This window comes from Homo sapiens, chromosome 8 (genome assembly GCF_000001405.40).
Source record: "Homo sapiens chromosome 8, GRCh38.p14 Primary Assembly".
In the NCBI taxonomy this organism is placed as follows: Eukaryota; Metazoa; Chordata; class Mammalia; order Primates; family Hominidae; genus Homo; species Homo sapiens.
Window position 1 is genome coordinate 104,496,861 of NC_000008.11, and position 20,400 is coordinate 104,517,260.

Below are 20,400 nucleotides of genomic sequence, written 5' to 3' on the forward strand. Positions count from 1 at the left end.
CATTTTCTAAACTAATATAAAACAAAAATACATTGCTAATCATCAAAGAACTTGTTTCAAACACTTGGGCCTGCTTTTATTGAGGCCCAATAGTTCTGTCTTGATACTGACCTTCTTTCAAACATTCTCAGAGAATAAAGCTTACAAGTACATCCCAATGCTATGACGAGTAACAGGCCACAGATGAGGCTCCCTATGACGGCAGCAGTGATGACTCTTGTAGGCACGATTACTGGGCAATTTTCTTCATCGCTGCCATCACCACAGTCATCTTGAGAATCACACACCCAACTTTCAAACACACAACGATTGTTTTTACAATGGAAATTTCCTGGTTGGCAAAAAAAGCAGTTTTTTTCATCTGAGCCATTTGGGCAATGATTCTGGTAGTTGCAGCGATCAGAACGAGGATAACAGACACCATTTCGGGAACATGGAAATTCTTCCTTCTGGCACATGGTACAATTGGTTTCATCCCTTCCATTTGGGCAATGCCAATACCCATCACAACGCTGCTGCTCAGTATAACACCCCCAGTTACCTCCACAGGGTATTTCCCATGGCAAACAGAACCCATCTACTTGGTAAGTAGCATTAAATCCCCTTGCAGCATTCACTTTATCAGCACAAAAATGTACCCTTATCTGTCCAGAAGAAGAAACAACTGTAAGAGGTGCATGAGAATCAAAAGCTGTCAACACACGCAAAAGCTTGTGTGGATTCTCCTCTAATCCATCATATATTTTGACATAATCACCATAACCAGTACCATCAAGTTTAAAGTCAGTGAAGCGTAAAATGACTTTACGGTGATCACCAGTGTCTATTAACCAGGTGCAATTGCTTCCAGGAGGATAAAAGTCTGGATAATTGGGAGAATTAAAAGTACCATAAAAATATTTTAGCCATTGCCCACATGTTGGCACATCACAGTCTATCTCATCTCCTAGGTCAAGGCAGTCAATGTTCCCATCACATTTTAAAGATTCGGGGAGGCAAGTGTAAACTTTGGTAAAACGGGATAAACACTGGAACTGGTTGTAAGCACAGGGTTGAAAAGCAGCAGCAGTTGGAGGATTTGCTTCTTTGGCACAGATCTCTTCATCGGAACTATCTCCACATTCATCCATGTTATTACATTTCCAGGCTTCTGGTATACACTTTCCATTACCACAACGAAACTGATCACAAGCACAATTTGGTTCCTCAGATTTCCCTGTGAAGATGTGAGTAGAAATAGATGGAAAGAGAAGGAGAAAAATTATAATCTTTAAAAGACATAAAACAGCAAGTGATATTTTTATAATAAATGTTCATAAAGCCCAAGTGCTAGAAGTTTTAAAAAACAGGTTGGTTTTTTAATATTTTAATTTTAAGTTCCAGGGTACATGTGCAGGATGTGCAGGTTTGTTACATGAGTAAACATGTGCCATGGTGGTTTGCTGCACCCATCAATCCATCACCTAGGTATTAAGTCCAGTATGCATTAGGTCTTTTCCCTAATGCTCTCCCTCCCACCCCACCCTCCCTAGAAAGGCCACAATAAATCTGGGGCCTGTGTCCATGTGTTCTCATTGTTCAGGTCCCACTTATAAGTGAGAACATGCAGTGTTTGGTTTTCTGTTCCTGTGTTATTTTGCTGAGGATAATGGCTTCCAGCTTCATCCATCCATCCAGCTTCCAGCAAAGGACATGATCTCGCTCCTTTTTATGGCTGCATAGTATTCCATGGTGTATATGTACCAACATTTTCTTTACCCAGTCTATCATTGATGGGCATTTGGTTTGATTCCATCTCTTTGCTATTGAGAATAGTGCTGCAATCAACGTATGTGTGTATGTATCTTTATAAATGGAATGATTTAACAGGTTGGGTTCTAATGACAAATTAGTACTGGCATGCTTACTCAACAATTCAATTTGTTAAATACTTATTATTATTCCATGAAGATCTTGCATTTTGATCTAAAAGAGAGGACTAATTCTGAATTATTCACATTTGTATGATCTGGTCTTGTTTTTTAGACACAATTTAAGAAAAGAAAAGATGTCGTTTTTTCTGAGACTATAAACTATGAAGGTGAAATTTGTTAGGTCTTTTCTCTGGAGGTATAAAAACAATGACAATTACCACAAAAATACATTCTGAAGTAACTTTCTGGATATGCGTAAGCACTTGAGGGAGAAAAGGCTATTCTTAGAATAAATGTATTTAAGATGTTTAAAAAGAAAATTAACCTTAGTATATGAAGTTAATCATTTTGTTAGAATTATACAAAACACCTTTTGGAGACCCAGCTTTAGGGCATCTAACTTTAGCTTCTAATCCTCAATCTCAGCTGCCTCAAGGGCCTACTCCTAATTAAATGAACACTACTTAGAAGATTAGCTCCGAAGTGACAGAGCAGTTAATACCATAAAATTCAGTTCAATATCTTTCTTATTTAAAAACACACCTGAAAAATATGCCAGTCTGAAACCCTTTCTAGAGATGTTGTCATCCGAATGAAACCTAATCCAGATGTGGTCTTGTGAAGAGATATACGGAGGTGGAATTGTGGAACCACAAGCTCTGTAACTTTCAATATTCTTGTATGTTTCTATTGTCAACCAGTCCAAATTGCACCTTCTGGATCCTTGAATATCAAAATCCTGAAAACTGAAAAAAAAATCAGAAATGTCTATTAAAAAGTCAATTTTGGAAAAAAAAATCGTATTACAAAGTAACTGAGGATATTATTATAAGCCTCCATATACTGACTGATTCTCCTGGGTTTTCTAGGCATACAACCGTATCATTAGCAAATAATAATACTAATTCTATGTTCCTCATATTTGTATTTCTTCCCCAGATTGTAGAAAAATAATTCTTCACAAGTAATGCTAGGTTCCAAAATAATGTTAAAAAACAGGTGACAGTTGGCACCTTTTCTTTTTCTTCTCTGTGTGTACGGTTGGGAAAGACCACTTCTAACTCAGAACATCCTAAACTGTTCTGTGTTCCAACCAGAATCACCTCTCCCCAATCTGATGAATTGAAGTAAACACAGAGAAACTCAGCCTTCTCTTAGATTAATACCTGCTTAATGAAAAGTTTGCAGCTGACATTCTTAGGAGAGTAATTAGCACAAATCTGAGCAAGGTAAAAGACTGAAAAAGGAACACACGAAAAATGTTTTTGGTGAAAAGTCCTTGAGTTTGGGAATACTTTTTTACATAAATCACTTTATAGCCAAATACTATCTTGTAGTTAATAAAATGTGGGCATAAGTATAGGCCAAAAACATCAAATAAATAAATGCACACAGAAAATTAGTCACTGCTTATGAAAAAAGAGAAACCAAAATACAGTTTTACAATATCTGAATATGCCTCACCAAAAAGTAAAGATCTGACTTTATATTCTTGCCTTTGCCTTAAACTAAGTGATAATAAAGTTAATTACCCAAGGATTATTATACCAGAATGTTTCTTCTTCAAATATTCTGAATAACTAACAAAAGCTGATAGACAATTTGATTGTTTCCAGGTTTGCACTATTATGAACTATGCTTTAAAAACTCCTGGCCGGGCATGGTGGCTCACGCCTGTAATCCCAGCACTTTGGGACGCTGAGGTGGGCGGATCACGAAGTCAGGAGTTTGAGACCAGCCTGGCCATGATGAAACCCCGTCTCTACTAAGAATACAAAAATTAGCCGGGCATGATGGTATGTGCCTGTAATCCCAGCTACTCGGGAGGCTGAGGCAGGAGAATCTCTTGAACCTGGGAGACAGAGTTTGCAGTAAGCCGAGACTGTGCCACTGCACTCCAACCTGGGCAACAGAGTGAGACTCCGTCTCAAACAAAACAAAACCAAACAAAACCAAACAAAACAAAACCCTTATACATGTACGTATCTCTCTTACAAGAACAAGAATTTCTCTAGGACAAACTATTCTAGAACTAGTATTGCTAGGTCAGAAGAATAATTCCTCTTTAAATCTGACAGACACTGGAAAAACATGTTTATACGAATTTACAGTTCTACCAAGTATGTACCAAAGTACCATATACCCCACACGTTTAGCAAAATGACATATTCTATTTTTAAAAATGTTTTGCCAATTAGGTAGACAAAAGAGATTTATCACTTCTATTTAGCATGTCTTTATTTACTGAGATTGAAATCCTTTTCCAATTTTTGGGTTATTTCTATTTCTTTTACTCCAAATTGCCTTGTTTTCCAAATTGCCTCCTTTATTCATTAATATTTCTTAAGAACTCTACATATTATAAACATGAGCTTATTCGGGGGCATGTATGTTATGTGAGACATGTCATATCCACCTACATCCACATTCTTTCTCTCCAATAGTCAGTGTGGTCAGTCTTTTTCATTTTAGTCACTGACGGGTGTGATCTCTTATTGTGGTTTTATGTACACTTCCCTGAAGACAAATTTGCTGAACATCTTTTCATGTGATTATTGGCCATTTTTATATCTTCTGTGAAGTATCTGTTCATGTCTTTTGCCCATTAAAAAAAAAAAGTTATAAAAATCCCTTTTATATTCTTGGCCGGGCATGGTGGCTCACACCTGTAATCCTAGAACTTTGGGAGGCTGAGGTGGGCAGATCACTTGAGGTCAGGAGTTCGAGACCAGCCTGGCCAACCAAAATGGTGAAACCCCGTCTCTACTGAAAATACAAAAATTAGCTGGGTGTGGTGGTGCATGCTTGTAGTCCCAGCTACTCGGGAGGCTGAGGCAGAAGAACTGCTTGAACTTGGGAGGTGGAGGTTGTAGTGAGCTAAGATCGCACCACTGCACCCCAGCCTGGGCGACAGAGCAAGACTCCACCTCAAAAAAAAAAAAAAAATGGATTCAAGTCCTTTGTTAGACATGTGTATTGCTAATATTTTCTTCCAGCCTGTGGTTTGTCTTTTCATTTTCTTAATGGAACCTTTTAATAAGCAGAAGTTTTAAATTTTAGTCTTCATTAAGTCTAATTTGTTATTTTTGCTTTGTGTTTAGTGCATTTGTTGTCCTAAGATATCTTGGTGTTTCCAAAGATCTCAACGATGTTCAACTACTTTTTAAGTATTTCAGAGTTTTAGTTTTTACATTTATAGCTGAGATTTATATAAATTTTCGTGTTTTCAAGTAGAAAATGAGATTCTTCTTTCTTACATTTATCTAGAACATAGAAGATACTAATTTTTGTTCTATCACACAGTTAAATTAGTCTGATGACTATGAACTTGAGGAGGTTTGGTTTTACACTTGTTTAAAGTGAGTTTGTTTCTGCTTTGCCCTTAGTCTTAGGGGGAATTCTTAGTTTAAGGACACTGTCTTTACTTGTAAAGTATGACACACAGAGTTTCATTAAAAATCTCAAGGCATTTATTTATGAAGCCCTATACTCGGTCTCCCCTGTGATGGACAGGATTCAAACTCCACATGCTGCCTCTGCTGTGGGGTGCAGCAGCTGAAATCTTCAGCCTTCCTGCTGTTACTTTCCAGCAGGTTCCTTGGAGTCTTCTTTAAGCACACACAATTCATGGGTCAGCTAAGGATTCGAGAATAATTTAAATGCAGTTACTTTCCAGCTTGTGGTTCTCTCCTTTCCAGGAGTTACCTTATTAATTTCCAGTTACTGTCCCATCCTCAACTGCATCCTGACACCTCAAGCTGACAAGACCACGGTGATCTGCTTGAGTTCCAGTCACTCCACGTTGCACAGACTGGCAAGAATCTTCAGAGAACTGGTAGGAAACAAGCCTATCTCACGAAGTGTGGTTCCTTCTTTCAGGGGTGGAATACTCTCCAGTTTTTGCCAGTTTTTTATTACTCTCCAGAGCCTTCAAATATCTTTTCCAAACTTAATAGCTCTTGTTTATGGGAGGTCTAGTCCCATTCAAACTAGGGAATCCCTAGTTTGGTTTTAAAATATCTTATCCAAACTTAATAGCTCTTGTTTATGGGAGGTCTAGTCCCATTCAAACTAGGGAATCCCTTAATAAACTTTTAGTCCACTAAACATTTAAGATTCATGAAGGCAAAGGCTGGGAGAGGTGGCTCACGCCGTAATCCCAGAACTTTGGGAGGCTGAGGTGGGTGGATCACCTGAGGTCAGAAGTTCGAGACCAACCTGGCCAACAAGGTGAAACCCTATCTCTACTAAAAATACAAAAATTAGTTGGGCGTGGTTTTTAATTTTAGTCTTGATGAAGTCTAATTTTTTATTTTTGCTTTATGTTTAGTGCATTTAGTGTCCTCTCTAAGCTATCTTGGTGTTTCCAAAGATCCCAAAGATGTTCAACTATTTTTTAAGCATTTCAGAGTTTTAGTTTTTACACACCTGTAATCCCAGCTACTCGGGAGGCTGAGGCGGGAGAACTGCTTGAACCCGGGAGGCAAAGGTTGCAGTGAGCCAAGATGGCGCCACTGCACTCCAGCCTGGGTGACAAAGCGAGACTGTGTCTCTCAAAAAAAAAAAAAAAAAAAAAAAAAAAAAAGATTCATGAAGGCAGAAACCTTGTTTAGAATAAGAAACAATAAATATCTGTTCATGTATACCCTATTTTAGTTTGCTAATTCATTTAGGATTTTTAAATAAGTAAAATTACTTTTTGGTTTTTTAAATGCTTCATAGTACTTTGTGTAATAAAAGCACTGTTGACATATTTGTGCTCTGTGCCTATTTAGAATATATTGAGTCAGGGAGAGAGTTTCAATTTCTTGATGTTTTTTGGTTTAATCAGTGTTTCTTAAACTTTTGACCATTTAAATTTTCTTAGAAATTGATCTTATGTTGATAGTAAAATTTATTACTACAAAGCTCTGTACACAGTACTTTCATACAATTTAAAGACATTTTTTCCTATCTGTGATCTTTAAGTTTGCTTTAGACTGCTTAAAACAAACATATAATTAGCAAATAAAGGTTTTCTCTTCCTTCCTATTTTCTTTATATCACTGATTTCTATCTGTTGCACTGTTGCATTCACTAAGAATTCTACTATAACCAGTAAAAGCACACATTTTTGTCTTGGTCCTTGGTGCTATAATTAACTTTGACATTAAATTTGCTTTTGAAAATTTTTAAACAGACACCCTTTACCAGGTTAAGGAAATTCCTTTTCTATTCATTTAGTAAAACTTGCCTATAAAACTAGTTCTAGAGTCTTAATTTGAATGCTGATTCAATTTCTTCAATGGCTACTGATTTCATCCGTTTTCTAATTCTTCTTGAATCAATTTTAGTAATATAAATTTTCTAAAAAATAATCCAATTCATCTACTTGTATAAAAGTATTAACATAAAACTGCTTATAATATTCTCTTATGACATTAAAAATTTTGTTTATAACTACAGACACTTTTGCTCTTTTTATCTTCTCTTTTTCTTCAGTTTTGCTTTGAGTTTTATCTATTTTCCTGAGTTTTTCAGAAAGTCAGCTTTTTGTTTTATTGAATTTTATTGCGTATTTTCCTGGTCTTTACTGCTACTTTAAAATTTACCCTCTAATTCTTTTCCTTAACTCTTGAGTTAAATGCTGAGCTTATTTATTTTCTAATTTTTAAATCAATGCATTAAAGTTGTAAACTTTTCTAAGTATTCTTTCAATGTATTCTAACAGTTTTAATATGTATTACTTTCACTATGGTTATTTAAAAAATATTTGGTCCCATTGTGATTTCCTCTTTAATTCAGGAGTTATTTAGGAATATATTTCTAAACATACAGGTTTATTTTTTTCTTTTATTTTAATTGCATTGTGGTAAGAAAACACAATCTGAATGATGTACAGTCTTTGAAATGTATTAAGAGTTCCTTTGTGATGTGAAACATAATCAATTTTTATAAATGTTCCACATGTCTTTGAAAAGAATGTGTATTCTTTGTTGAAATAAGTATTAAAGGTGTGTTAAAAATCTCCCACTGCAACTGTGGATTGGTCAAATTTGCCGGGCAATTCTCCACATTTTGCTTTGCATGTATTTTAGGCTATGTAATTAAGTAAATGAAATTTACTGCTGGTTTATTTTCCTGGTAGAATACCCCAATTGTTACTAGTATTTTGTGCCTTAAGCTCAATTACAATGGATGTTAATCTTCCTACACTAGCTTTCTCTTGATGAGTAGCTCCAAAACTAACCTTTTCTATCTCGTTTTGTTTTTGTTTATTTTTAAGACTAAGTCTCATTCTTCCACCCAAGCTGGAGTGCAGTGGTGCATTCATGGCTCACTGCAGCCTCAACCTCCTGGGCTCCGGTAATCCTCCCACCTCAGCCTCCTGAGTAGCTGGGACCACAGGCAACGTGCCATCATGCCCAGCTAGTTTTTTGTATTTTTTGTAAAGACAGGGTTTCACCACCTTGCCCAGGCTGGTGTCGAATTCCTGAGCCTACCTTGGCCTTCCAAAATGCTAGGATTACAGGCACGAGCCACAGCATCTGGCCCATCTCCTTGTTTTTAGACATTCTGTATTAGTTTTGTTTTAGATGTGTTACAACCTTTCTACTTGGGAGAGAGTTCTCATTTTCCTTCTTTCCTTTTTTTTTTTTTTTTTTTTTTTGAGACAGGGTTTCACTCTGTTGCCTAGGCTGGAGCACAGTGGCATGATCTTGGCTCTGTAACCTCCACCTCCTGGGTTCAAGCAGTTATCATGCCTCAGCCTCCTGAGTAGCTAGGATTATAGGCGCGTGCCACCATGCCCAGCTAATTTTTGTATTTTTAGTAGAGATGAGGTTTCGCTATGTTGGCCAGGCTGGTCTCAAACTCCTGACCTCAAGTGATCTGCCTGCCTCAGCCTCCCAAAGTGCTGGGATTACAGGCGTGAGCCACCACATCTAGCTTCCTGTCTTTTTTGAATATATTTTTAAAGTTCCTTTTCCTCTGTTAACTGCTCAATATTACTCCTATTTTTAATCAGTGGCTACCTTTTGATATTTTAACTGAAATGCTGAAACACACTTTTTTTCTAACAAAGTCCAAGTAAGAATATTCGGTGTTTCTCCTGTCCCCTCAAAAATCACAAATAGGGTAGAAACAATTTAAAGCTTTATTTTCACTAACCTTTTACTAAAATTTAGCATTTCCTACACTTATAAACAACAAACCATGACAGTATTTATAGCACTGGCCACTCCACCACTATTCAAAATTAGAGATATTTTTATGTTACATTTCAGTTTTTACAGATATCTAAAAATACTATTTACACGTAAAATTTTTTCTTTGAAATTAACCACTTGATTTTGCTAATGTGTTCATAAATAAGCATATATTACATTACAAATATTAAAAAATATCTGATAGCTGTACTTTAACATAATTGGTTCCCTTTGTAATGCTATGTATTTTTTTTAATGAATTTAAACACATTATTCTGGGAAAGAATACATAGGTTTTACCAGAATACTAGGTGGCCGTGGCATAAAGAAAGTTAAGAAATAATTCCTGACAGAATACATCTTAAAATGCCTGGAGTAAATTTGAGTTCCAACTTAATTTTGTTTGGCTGTTTTTCTCAGCATTCAATTTTTTCACACATTCTGGAATTTTGGTTTACAGGTTTATTTTATGGAAGTTTTTTGGTTTTCTCTCTTTTTTTTAATCCTCTCTTCTTCTATGTTCCCCTACTTGGGTCTACATTCCAGAACAAGTCTTAAATGATGGTTCAGAGTATTACAGATCCTTTCATGGAGTCAGCAGGTGACATAGTTATTCATGTTTGTTAGGTTATGCCCTCTCAGCTCTCTAAGCTCTCAGCCCCATATAAATTCAGGCTGTGGTTGGTGGAAGATTTTTCAGCCTCCTGTCTGGAGCAAAATTGCCCGTCCCTAGTCCTTGGCTTCAAGCAGGGTGCTGGTATTCAATCCTCTCTTCCCCATGGATAAGGTGGCCTTTGTTGATTATAGTGGGTTCCAAGGGAGAGGAATGAAGTAAAAATGCCTTTATTTCACCATCTTAAGCAAGTTTTATACAGACAGTTCTCAGTATTGTTTTTACTCCGTAACTTTAGTTTCCCTCTTCTATCCAGATTTTAAAAAATCATGTTTCTAATTCCATTTTACTAAGAATTTAAAATTTTTATTTTAAATTCAGGAATGAATGCTGATTTTCTTTTTTACCAAGATGCTTCAAAGCATCTGTGTACACTAGATAATCATATACTTTTTCTTTTGACTTGTTTACATGGTAAGTTAATTTAATATTTCCTAATACTGACTCATTTGTATGTCTAAAAGAGCTACATTTAATTATGCATATGATTCTTTTGAATCATTTAAGATTATGCAATGATAATCATATGTAAAACTTGTCTTTGTGTATATGCAGGTGTGTCATCTTTTTAAAGTTATGGTATTACCATGATAATGACTTCAGTAAAGAATCTGAACAATTACTAAAATCACCTTCTGATCTGTATACATCGAAATTCATTGCTCCCTTCTAAAATTCAGGAAATTTTCCTTTAGCTGTAGGGCTCACTTCAATTTTATTCTGCATTTCAGTATTGTGCTTGGTTTTTAGTGTATCTTAACCTCATGAAATCTCAAGGATGCAATACATTATCAAAACCAGATGGCAGTATTTCATGTAATCTCCTCTGTGCTGGTAAGATTTTCAAGTTTTACAAAACTGAGCTATAAGTTGTAAGTTAAATTTTTAGGTTAAAAGGTGAAGGTCTCTATAAATTCTAGTTTTATGCTAAAAAACTCCCAATATGTGGTAAAAATGTTATTTTGTAAACATACTTAGTCACACTACAAGTAACAGAAAATAGGTATATTATTTACATTTAAACACTGACCCTGTTACAGAAAGATAACCTTAATGGTGCATTCTACCACTCAATCAGGCAAGAGAAAAACACTGCATGGAGGAGGAGAACAACAGCTTTTGTATGTGCCAAGCTCTGGGGTTCCAGAAGAGGTAATGTAGGGTAGAGGAAAATAAAAGGAAAACAAACTATGGCCCTTGTTTGTGGTTTCCACCAAAAAAAGGAGATAGATGACAGTTATGCTTCTCAAGAGAGATTGGTTTCCTCATCAGTTAATAAATACAAAAAAGGAAGATGAAAAAAGATGAGAAAGTAGGCTAAATGTATAAGTCTTATTTTAAAAACATAAAATGAAGGAATTTGAGTTTATGATCTCCAAAGTCTCTTCTAAATCTAAAATTCTATGCCTCCTACCCATACAATGTTACACATGAAAACATGTTGAAGGTGCCTTTGTGCTACACTGTCTCTGTGATGGAAATGACATTCTTATTTGTGTTTTGTTCCAACTGCAGTTCTTCATTCGGGCTATTTTTTTTTCCCCTGTAGGTAAATATTTTTTTCCTAATGGCCTTGATAGAATTTTCCTAAGCAAGCAGTATCTAGTTCTACTAAATATATTCTTTACAATCTTATTCCCGTACTGTTTTTCTCTGCAAGTAATTTGCTAAATGTTTTAAAATTTAATCTTAACCTTCCTTATTTATATGTCACATTCATTCTTAGAATCTTAAACTTACAGCTATTTCCCCTAGGAATGCCTTTCATTTGTATTCTTAACAAATGTTCTTTTGTTTCGAAGTTATAAACAAAGATTTTTCTAGATATAGTATTTCTCCATTATCAGTTTGTTTCAAGTTTTATACATACATACACATATACAGACAGGCATGACAAATTGTGTTTTAACTCATTTAGGTAGAAGGCTCTACTAATGAGACAAAGGTTAAGAGCTAGATATCCAAGTGAATTAATGAGTTTTGTTTATTTGTTTGTTCCACTGCCAAAGGTTAGTCTTGACCCTAATAGGCTATTTTGCAAATGTCTATATTTTGTTAAAAAGTAGCTTAGAAGAATATAGATGATTCAATGCAAATACATTACCACCCTTAGAAAATACTCAAAACACATACCAGATGGGCTGTTACTCTTACTCTTAAGATGACACCAATAGCTAATAGCTGTTCTTTATTACATCTCCTGAAAAGCCTTCTTTTTATATTACTGCATGTTAAGTAATAATAAATGAAAATGGAATTTATGTTTTGTAATAAATTATATAGTAATACAGAAAGGTAGAATTACCTTATAGTAATGATTTCGCCTGGGTTTGCCCTTATGAACCAGCTACAGTTGATTTTTGCAGGATATTCAGAAGGCCAGCCTGGGCTTGTGATTATGCCACTTGGTGCTCGTATTTGCTCTGGAGTCTCTCCACAAGCTGGAAGATAGCCAAAGCAATCTTTCCTTATTATTACACATTTAAATGGTATTAGGTAAATCAGTGTTTATTTTTTAAAAACCAAAAAACTTTACACATCAAATAATAACCAATAAGATATGGTAGTATCAACTTTAAAAAGCTATTATTCTAATGAGATATTTCAATTTTCTCCCTTTTAGATAAAGTCCCTTATTCCAATAAAATACAGTAGCCCCACTTATCGGACATTTTGCTTTTCATTGTTCAGTTACTTGGAGCCAACAGTGGTCTGAAAATAGTAAATGGAAAATTCTGGAAATAAATAATTCTTAAGTTTTAAATTGTGTGCTGTTCTGAGTAGTGATGACATCTCTTGCTGTGCTGCTCTGTCCCTCCCGGGACATGAATCTTCCCTTTGTCCAGTGTATCCACGCTGTGTATGCTACCCACCCATTAGTTACTTAGTAGCCATCTCACTTATCAGATCAACTGTCACAGTATTGAAGTGCTTGTGTTCAAGTCACCCTTATTTTGCCATTATGAATGGCCTTGAAGCACAAAAGTAGTGATGCTGGTAATTCGGATATGTCAAAGAGAAGCTGTAAAGTGCTTCCATTAAGTGAAAAGGTGAAAGTTCTCAACAATAGAAAAAAAATCGTATGCTGAGGTGTCTGAGCTCTAAGGTAAGAATGAATCTTATATCCATGAAATTATGAAGAAGGAAAAAGAAATTCATGCTAGTTTTGCTGTGATACCTCAAACTGCAAAAGTTAATGGCCGCAGTACCTAAGTGCTTAGTTAAGATGGAAAAGGCATTAAACTGGACAGCAATCAGGTTTGGTACTCTGCAGTTTCAGGCATTCACTGAGGGTCTTGAAGGTATCCCTCATAGATAAGGAGGGACTACTGTACATGTTTTGGGCAGGCAAGGAAATTTCAAACTGGATCACTGAATAAGAGTTCAAGATTACTGGCTTTGGCCATGGAGACTGATCTATCCATCCACCCATCTTTTTTCAAAACTCATCTTTCAAGTTTATTTTCTTTATCATAAACTACCTTTCCAATATTTGCTTACCTACTTTGTTTAGATCCTTAGGAGCATAATGCTGCTTTTAGGGTACTCTAAATAAGCCTAACAGTAAGATGCTGGATTGTAATTTTTGTTAAGAAGTTAGTGGATGATTGAATAAAGATAGTAAAACACTCAAAATCACTGCAAAGCAGTTCTTCAATTTATTCCATTAATACTTCCAAGCTATTTATTACAGGGTTATGAATGATTCCTACATTATTTAAAAGTAAAATTTTGAAATAGTGCTTAAAATATCACCATGTGATTAGACATCTGCATATCACAGAGGAAAATCTTCATGCATATAGAATAAATTAAAACTAATACCAACACTTTCCTGGATTATTCTTGCACTATCTGGAACTCTCGTTGCAATATAGTTAACATTATCCAGAATTCAGTTGATAATGTGACAATTTATTCTCTCTCAATCAAATACGTGATGTTTAAGCCTTTAGTAGAATTTAAAATTCTAGAACGTCTTATTTAATACAATTTCAACAAATTAGATTACTTGATTTTAAAGTAACAGCAGATTAGAAGCAGAAAATTAGAAGTGGGGAGAGTAGCTGCCAGGGGTACATAAACAGTTATCAGAAGTGACGAGTAAATTTTCAGAAAAACAAACACTACATACTAAACTCAAAAACCATGAGCTCATAATTTATATATTGCCTGTCTCTCAAAAGGTAAGACTGTTGTATTATATCATCATAATAAATTAATATTCATACTGATCTAAGAGTTGTTGAGTGAATAATGAATCAGTATAGGCAAAATGACTGGTATAAAACACGGCCTGCACTCCCATGCTTTTTAAGTTCTGCTGTAGTTTAAAAATCAGGTAACCCAAGAGATGGCCAAATACCACTATTACAATTGTAATTTGGAAAAATGACTTTTTTTTTTTTTTTTTTTTTTTTTTTTGAGATAGAGTCTCACTCTGTCTCCAGGGTGGATGGAGTACAGTGGTACAATCTCGGCTCACTACAACCTCTGCCTCCCAGGTTCAAGCAATTCTCCTGCCTCAGCCTCCCGAGTAAGTAGGACTACAGGTGCACGCTACCACACCCAGCTAATTTTTGTATTTTTAGTAGAGAAGGGGTTTCACCAGGTTGGCCAGGATGGTCTCGATCTCTTGACCTTGTGATGTTACCACCTCAGCCTCCCGAAGTGCTGGGATTACAGGCGTGAGCCACCGCGCCCAGCATTTTTTTTTTTTTAAGAGATGAGATCTCACTATGTTGCCCAGGCTGGAGTGCAGTGGCTATTCACAGGCACTAGCATAGGACACTACAGCCTTGAATTCTTGGGCGCAGGTGATCCTCTTGCCTCAGCTTCCTGAGTAGCTGGGACTACAAAGAGCATGCCACCATGCATGGCAACTTTTTTTTGTTTTTGTTTTTGTTTTCCGTAACAGGGGTTATACACTTTTCAATTTAGGTTAAGAATGCTAGGAAGTATATTATGTAATTTAAAGAATTTTATCCATAATGATCAAAATAAAACAAGCTATATTACTTAAAGTCAATCCTTATTTCTATAGAATAACCTACTCCCTGAAGAAAACATGCAATCAAAGCTTTAAAAGTATATTCTACTGCAGAAAAAAAAGTTCATATCGAAAAATGGGTCTGCCCTGGAATTAGGGTGCACTGCCAAAGGGCATCTGTTTTGAATCGCTTTCAGAACAGATTCATGGCATACAGCACAGATATATCAAGGGCTTAGCATTCATCTCATTGCCAAGGCATAGTCAAAGCTTCTTTTTTTCTTTTTTTTTTTGCTGCTGTTTCGTTAGTAAATCTCCCTTACAAAAAAGTTTTAATTTTAATAAATGACGTTTTAGAAAAAGACTATATGTATCCAAATGTAATTCTTTAAGAGTTTATTAATAATAAACTGCCAGTTTTCTTCCACTTTACTCTGAGTTATCATTACAATAATTTAATAAAAAGATAGCTAAGTTATTTGTAAGAACTTCTTTTTCTCCTGGCCAACATGGTGAAACCCCATCTCTACTAAAAGTACAGAAATTAGCTGGGTGTGGTGGCGTGCACCTGTAGTCCCAGCTACTCAGGAGGCTGAGGCAGGAGAATTGCTTGAACCTGAGAGGCGGAGGCTGCAGTAAGCTGAGATCGTGCCACTGCACTCCAGCCTGGTGACAGAGCGAGACTTTTCATTATCTCCTAACACAGCATTCTGGAGTCGCAGTAAGCTAAAGGAAATCTTAAGTTCATGAAAATATAAACAAACATATAAATAAACAGCCAAAAACAATCATCACCCTTTCCCCAGAATATGGAAAATTGTTCATTTTTATTAAAAGATTCACCTACGTTAAAGAGACTAATACAATTTTGAGTTAAATTACATTTAACTCAATTATAATTCTGTACTACCATGTAAGTACTCAACTATTTATTAAATGGTTTAACAGCAGTGACATACAGCCAAAAACAAGGTGGGATTAATCTAGGACAAAGAACATTCCTAACCTTTGACTAAATCGATAGAATAATTATAGGGAAAAACTAGAAAGAATTTTATTAGGTTTTGTTTTAGGAAAAAAATTTCAAGTACATGAGAAACCCATAGGTGGTGCTCTTATACCAATAACTGAAGATTCTAGTATGGTACTCAAAAATACATTTTGTGAATATTTTATTTTCATGCAACGGCCCAGGGATAAGACATACCACCCATAAATAAGAATGACTATTATGAGATTCAATATTTATATTTCTAATTCAATATGTACTTTTATAACATTATTTTAAAATATTAATGATTCTTCCTAATCAAAAACAAAACCATAGTATCTTAAAATTTCTTCCTGAATTGGTTATAAATATATATATTGATTTAGTTATGCACATTTCCAACATGACTGAATTTGGAATCTGGCTTCAGATCTAGCCAGTGGCTTTTTTTCAACCTATTTCTGCATGTACAACACACTGAGTATGTAGACAAATATGCTGTAGCACAGCCATAATGTATTCCTTTCTATATCTAAGAAAGAATACATTTCAAAAGCCAAAAGAAACCATTAAAGCAATTTTTAACTCCCTTTTGGGTTAAGAGTTTGCCTATGTATACTGGCAGATTTGGTATCAGAAGACCTAGATGCTGTCTGTTCTACCTGCCACTTACTGGCTTTGCACAATATAAACTACTAAATTTTTGGGGGCGCTATTAATAATTTCCTCATGTGTTGAAATACGGAGTTGCTATTTGATTACCTCTAAGGTCTATTTCAGCCCTCAATCATGCACCTCTTCCCACTATATTTCTGATAGCTCAATGGGATACATTGATAAATTTTTCATTTTCTTCCTTTGCATTTTTTCTCTGACCCACTGAAATAGACTTTCAATTCTGACCTTATCTCCACAGAAACCATGCTAGCAGGAAAAGGCCATCAGTGACCTCACCGCTAAATCCAATGGACACTCATTCCCAAGGTACTTGATCTTTCTGGAGCACCTGACACTGACTACCCAGACTTGGAACTGTACTACCCAGACTTTGTGGACATCACCTCCTCTAATTCTCCTTCTAACTCTATTCTGTGTTAATTTTCTAGCACTAGATCCTCTGTCCTTGGCCAGCCAGCCAGCCAGTCCTTGATACTGGTTTCATGGTTAATTCCAAAGCCCTCTGCTCTTCTCACTCTCAATGGAAGATTTCATCCACTTTTACAATTTCAACTATGGTCATGAGTTTAAAATTTTTAACCCAGAGGCTTTGCATAGTCAAATGCCCACTGGACATTCTAACCTCAAATTCAACATGATCAGACCTGTGTGTTTCCCAAATCCGTCTTCAGAATATCCTATATTCTGAATCTACATCATCTCAGGCAGCATTTGTTTGATGGAATAGGTACTGAAGTAAAAAGAAATTGAAGAATACTACAGGCGTTTTCAAGAATTTTCAAGGACAGGAAATAAGTTAGGCCTCACAGAGATTAAAACCGGAAATTTCAGTCAGAAATTGAGCCTGCCTTCACCACTTCTTAGGGAACCAAGGCCTGTTTTATCTCTTACACATCTGCCCCAACCTTCCAAAGGAAATCCTCTGGGTCTTCCATTTTTTCATTATTTCAGTGCTTTATAAATGGCTTCCCAGTCCCAACTTATCATTAATACTTCAGCTCCAGTACCTACTATAACCTGTAATTTCATTTTTCCTAGTTTATCATATTTATATTACTGTTACTCATTTTACATTATAGATTTGAGGTGGCTTATTATTATAATATTGATAAAACAGATAAAACTTAAGTCTCCGGCCAAGTGTGGTGACTCACGCATGTAATCCCAGCACTTTGGGAGGCCGAGGCGGGTGGATAATGAGATCAGGAGTTCAAGACCAGCCTGGCCAATATGGTGAAACCCCGTCTCTACTTAAAAAAAAAAAAAAAAAAAATTAGCCAGGCGTGGTGGTGCGCACCTGTAGTCCCAGCTACTCAGGAGGCTGAGGTGAGCTGAGATCGTGCCACTGACTCCAGCCTGGGCAACAGAGCAAGACTTTGTCTCAAAAAAAATGACAGAAAAAACAACAACAAAAGAAAAACAAAAAAACCAAGTCTCAATTTCCTCACTTGTAAATGGGGATTAAAATACTAGTACACAGGATGTTCCAAGGATTACATGCAATTATTTTGGTAAAAGACATAGCACACTGCTTGTATTACAGTAAACTGTCAGTAAACAATATTACATGATATGCCAAATCAGACTGGTTGGTAGTAATGCCTGGAATGCTGTATTGAGATGGCTACTAAGGCTGTGTTCAGGCTAAGTGAGAAAGAGGACAGTGACTGAAAGAGGATGTGTGATTGTTTACTTTGTAAGTGCTGGGCACTATTATGCACTCGAAAGAATGAGAAATTATGTCATGATTAACTGGTTACCTGACACAGATAAAAGCCATGGGAAGGATAGGGTTGGGACACATACTCACAAAACTTCACTTTAGGAAATAAATATTTGTTTGAAATCAAAATCTTTACATGGTTTGAACTTCATCTTTCTATATTTTGACTATCCTCCCAGTTTAAAATACATCAAACTTGACCTTCTTTTGCTTACATTCATTCTATTCATACCTTTTCTATTGCTTAAACATAGTTATTTCAGCTATGGTCTGGCTAATTCTTCCTTAAGAATTAGTTTATATGTAATTGGCAAATAAATAAATCTTGTCAGTACAATGCAAAATTATGTAAGATCTTATTCCCAGCATGCTAATGATTTGAAATAACCAGAGGTAGAAGTTTTCAGAGTTTAAGAAAAAATATGAAAACCCTATAGAAGCTGCCTTTCTTTATTGCAAAATGTGGTTACTTTTTTTGGCTAAAATTACTGCTTGGTTTTTGTCTCTATTAAGCTATCTTGGGAAGGTGCAAAATGCAGATGGAAATATGAAGACATCACACCACTATGAAAACAAAACAATTTAATTGATGAGGGATATCCCTGAAGTGTATTTTTAGTTTTGATTAAATTGGTCTCCATTAAAAGCAAATACCTTTAAGTGGGGGAGCATGAACCTATGCATATATGGCTGCAGAATATAGACTGATTGTAATTGTAAATGTCCACAGGTATTTGACTGTGGTAGTATTTGGATTGATATTTTATTTGCTAGGGTTATACTTAAAAGGTATGTAGTTGTAAGTGATCTATGCCAACACTTCTCTCAGAAGCCTTGTTAGTCTTTGTTCATTTTGCTTCCTTAATACATCTCTTAATTACTTGCATCAATGTTTTAAATTTACTATTTTTATTTTTTTATAAAGATGGGGTCTCCCTATGTTGCCCAGGCTGGTCTTGAACTCTTGAGCTCAAATAATCCACTCTCCTTGGCCTCCCAGAGTACTGGGATTACAGGTGTGTGCCACCAAGCCCAGCCAGTATCAACTTTTTGTTTTACAAACATCATCTAATTTACGTTGGTGAGTTATCTTTAGATATAAACAAATATTCAAGTACTTTGGATAATGATGATCTACATTCTCTACTTTTTATAAATTTTCTATAACCCAGAAATAGAAATCCCCAAATTAAAGAGGTTCAAAATGTTTATTCAAAAGATAGCAACTTTCAAACGTAGATAGCATCTTCTTAGTAGGAACCTACAGGCTATCTGACTAGCCCCCACAAAAGCCTATTTAATTTACAGTTGAAGTAGTGTATAGGACATCTGAAATGAAAAAAAAAAGGCAATGACATTATTATAATGCTAATGGTTAAACTATATGAAAAGATTAACTGAATACATATTTTTAAAATTTATCATGTATGTTGTCAATTAAGAAAGGGAGAATTAACTGAAGAATGAACAGGTAGAGATCCTCTGATGGAGTTCTTAAGATTTTGGTATTAGTTTTCTCATTTAAAATATAAAGATCTCACTGTATAGTTTAGAAAACAGGGCAAAGTTAACTGATGAAACACTGAAGACTTCTTGTTTTTACTTATACTATTTTAATAATCCTACAGAAAAGCAAAGGACTATGGTTTTAAAACTAGATTAATGCATCATACTTATTATATTTAAATCAATTATTTAAAAAATTGGCAGTGCTCAGCCTCTATTAAGAAGACACATGAAAGAGGGAGGATCACTTCAAAATAAAGTCAAGCTGTCTTACAATTTGAGATTTCATAGTTTCAAAACACCTAAAAAATTACAGAAAAAGTACATATTTACAATTAGAGCTGAACTACTGTCAAAGAAAAAGTATAATTTCCTGCTCCACAGATGAAGAACTGGGTTTTTTAAAACTGACAAGAGTTGATACTTCATGACAAAAAGTAGTTGAGACTAAAAGTTATGTGAAATCTTTGACTTTGATTTTAATAAATCACAAAACTGAAATGCAAGTAAATGTCTGTTTATGTTTACTGACCACCTAACTTTATAAGACACATATGAAGGGCACAAAAGAAATAGAGAACTCATGTTCTCATGGAAATTATAGTTTTATAACAATGACATATACTTTTTAACTGAATCCAAGAAGCATATAACAGTTAATATGACAGCATACCAGATAATACAGTACATGATTTAATGCATAACAAGTAACTTTAGGCAAAGTATCACATGTTCAGTT

At 35.3% G+C, this 20,400-nt stretch overlaps 1 protein-coding gene across 2 annotated transcripts in view; it reads right to left on the minus strand.

Annotated features, from left to right (window-relative positions):
- LRP12 (LDL receptor related protein 12) overlaps positions 1 to 20,400 on the minus strand; it is a 100,023-nt gene that overhangs the window by 7,625 nt on the left and 71,998 nt on the right. For both annotated transcript variants that reach the window (NM_001135703.3, NM_013437.5), the window contains 3 exons: positions 12,079 to 12,214; positions 2,457 to 2,659; positions 112 to 1,216 (listed from right to left, as the gene is read on the minus strand). In NM_001135703.3, coding sequence (NP_001129175.1) covers positions 112 to 1,216; positions 2,457 to 2,659; positions 12,079 to 12,214 — 1,444 coding nt within the window. The remainder of the gene's footprint in view (positions 1 to 111; positions 1,217 to 2,456; positions 2,660 to 12,078; positions 12,215 to 20,400) is intronic.